A 3,270-nucleotide genomic window follows, 5' to 3' on the forward strand; every position below is an offset into this window, starting at 1 on the left:
TAGAGCCTGGGGTATTAGCCTCTGCACCTCTTCTCACCAATCTGAAATGGAACTTGGCTACATAGAGAAATATGCCCAGTGTCCTCCTCACCTTAACCAACAACAGAATCTGGGATCTGAAAGGAGCCACAGAAGTTCCCTTGGTTTTGCCCTTGGCCACAACCCAGAGAAGGTGTTATTATCCATAGTGAAATAGCCAAGGTTCTTGGGTTAAAAAAAAATTGGCCCAAGTTTATTTAACCAAGAAATGGTGACTGAATCAACAAGCATGTATTATGTGTGTGTTCAGCTTGGTGAGTCTGGCAGGCTGTAAGTCAGAAGAAGCCCCATGGCTTAAGGGGGCCTCCTCACTGGGCTCTGTGTGTACCACCCCAGGCTGAGGCCGCAGTTCTGTAGGAGCCTGGCTCTGTCGCGCAGGACTCCCAGGACCTTGCACACAGCTTGTTTGCTGGTGGTTATGCTAAAGCACTAGCCTGGGCCATTGGGAAGCTGGGAGGCTTCCCTGTACACAGGCCCAGCCCCTATCTGTGAGCTGAGCACAGGACTACTGCTAACATCCTCGCTGACAACCTGCTTCTAGAAAGTACATTAGGGAAATGGCCCTATGGGCCTGGCTGGGTTAGGAGGACCCCTACAGATAGGAGCCAGGTTAGAAATGACCAGGGAACCAATGGGTCAGCCCTCAACAGGACTTGGTGGGAAGGATGTCAGAGCCAAGTCTTGCTTTTGTTTGGCATGAAGTGAAAAGGCTAAAGGAGACTCCATTGTGGGGTACTGAAAGTGATCCACTAGGGAAACTGACTAGGTTCCCTGGAATTTGGGGAAACTGGTGTTCCCACCTGAAATGTTGAAAGGCATGTGTGGCATGGATTAGCAGTTTGCCTGAGAAAGGCGGGTGCTTGCAAAGTTTGGGATGGGCAGGTCAACCACGCATTTATGTTTCCCAGGCCAAATGTGGACTCTAAGGAAGGAAGCTGGTGGTGGATCATCTCTAGAGGGATCTTGCACAAGAAGGCCTCCTGGAAGAGTGAGGTGACCCCAACAGAGAATCAACAAGAAGCCAGAGACTGGGGCTTTGCCGGGGGCAATTGCAGCCAGGCGAAGGAGGCATTGCCTCAAAGGAATCTTAGGTGGGAAATCCTCAGTGCTGGGGGGCTTCCAAGGAACCCAGAAGGAGAATGAGCTTTCAGGCATGCAGCATAGAGAAGCCCCTAATGCTAAACTGTGATGACACATTTGCCCTTTTCCTCTAATTCCTTCAAATTCCTCACTCCCCACACCCCATCCGGCCCCGTAGGAGAAAACAGTACCTAGAAGTGGACAAAATATGGAGAGGAAGGGAGAAGAAAATGACCATGTCCTCCTCCACTGCAGGCCCCTTTGCTGGAGAAGGATTGGATTCTCATTGAAGGAGAGTTCAGAGTTTTAACACTGGATAGAAGTGGACCTTTTTATATCTGAAAGTGACTAAAAAATCTGCCTCAGGTTTTACCCAATGGAAAGTGAAAACAATTCAGGTCTTCAGAGTGACTGATGGATAATCATGAGAAGGAAAAGATGCTCTCCAGTTAGAATTTTTTTTTTTTTTTTTGAGAAGAGGCCTTGCTCTGTCACTCAGGCTGGAGTGCAGTGGCATGACGTCAGCTCACTGCAGCCTCCACCTCCCAGTTTCAAATGATTCTCCTGCCTCAGCCTCCCGAGTAGCTGGGATTATAGGCATCTGCCACCACACCCAGCTAATTTTTGTATTTTTAGTAGAGACAGGGTTTCACCATGTTGGCCAGGCTGGTCTCGAACTCCTGACCTGAGGTGATCTGCTGGCCTTGGCCTTCCAAAGTGCTGGAATTACAGATGTGAGCCACTGCACCCAGACTCCAGTTAGAATTTTTGATGTTGAATTCATTCCATTGCACATATACATATAACACACACACACACACACACACACACACAACACCCCTCTTTTTCCACAAGAACAAGGAAGTTCAAAAAGGCAGGTTGGTGCTACATGGTTCAAAAATGATGTCATATTATAATAGCTGTAGGAGAAAGGCAGGTCTACCCAGAATGAAGCAAATACTAAGATTACTTCTTGGGTTCTCTGGAGAAAGATCATGGCCATATGTCAAGAATCTGTCATTAAAGAGTCAACACATGACAAGTACACAGAAGATGGGGGGATGATACTTGGGAATAGAAACCCAGGCTGAAAACTCAGTGTGATCAATGTGGGGCCAAGTGTCCATTTTGTAATAGATGATCAATTATGTCATGATCTTTAGTGGACATTTTGTGGGTTCTCATGGTGTCCTTAGAACCATCAGAACATACAAGTAGTGTTTCAAATAATAAGCGTTTCCATCACCTGAGTGGAATTTCTTACACTCTCATAAAATATGATCAGGTTGCCTTCTCTTAAAAGATTATTCTCCACAGAATAGATATTTTTTGTAGTCACAGGGCCCAAATTTTCTAACAGAGCCTGTTTTCTAACAGAATCTCTATTTTGAGACTGTAGAAAGATGTGTGTAATGGAGCAGAATCAATGTCATCATCTATGACCTAGCTGATTAGTATTGGATGGTAGGTTGCCTTTCACTGTGCTTGGGGATGCCTTAGAGAACTTTTTGTAGCCAGCTCTTAAAATGCTTTGTACGTTTTAGGATTAAACATTTTTAGATTGCACACACAGTCCTAAAACAAAGGAAAACCTATTGCTTAAACAATGTCTGAAGTTTAGTATAATACTAGACCTTATGTATTAAGTACAAACTAAGAAATGTCAAATACAGAACCTCAAATAAGATGAAATTTTATTTCTTTCTTATGTGAAAGTCCAGACTGAAGCAGGTAGTCTTGGGTGGGCAGATGGTTCTGATCCACCAGCTCATCCAGGCACCCAGGCTTGGGATCTCTACCCTCCTCAATGTGTGGCTTCCCTTTCTGGGTGTAAAAATGCTGCCCCAAATGCCACTGCCACCAGTTCCCAGTGGTTAGGAGATGACCCAGATGTTGCATGCATCACTCCCTTTCACATTCTATTGGCCCAAATGTGATCACAAGGCCACACGAAGCTGCAAATAAGACTGTGCGATATGGTCTGTCACCGGGCACCCATGGACCCAGCTGAAACACATGACTTCTGTTACTAAATGAAAAATGAGGCCAGGTGTGGTGGCTCATACCTATAATCTCAGTACTGTGGGAGGCTGAGAAGGGCAGATCACTTGAGGTCAGGAGTTTGAGACAAGCCTGGCCAACATGGTGAAA

This window comes from Homo sapiens, chromosome 4 (assembly GCF_000001405.40).
Source record: "Homo sapiens chromosome 4, GRCh38.p14 Primary Assembly".
Taxonomy (NCBI): domain Eukaryota; kingdom Metazoa; phylum Chordata; class Mammalia; order Primates; family Hominidae; genus Homo; species Homo sapiens.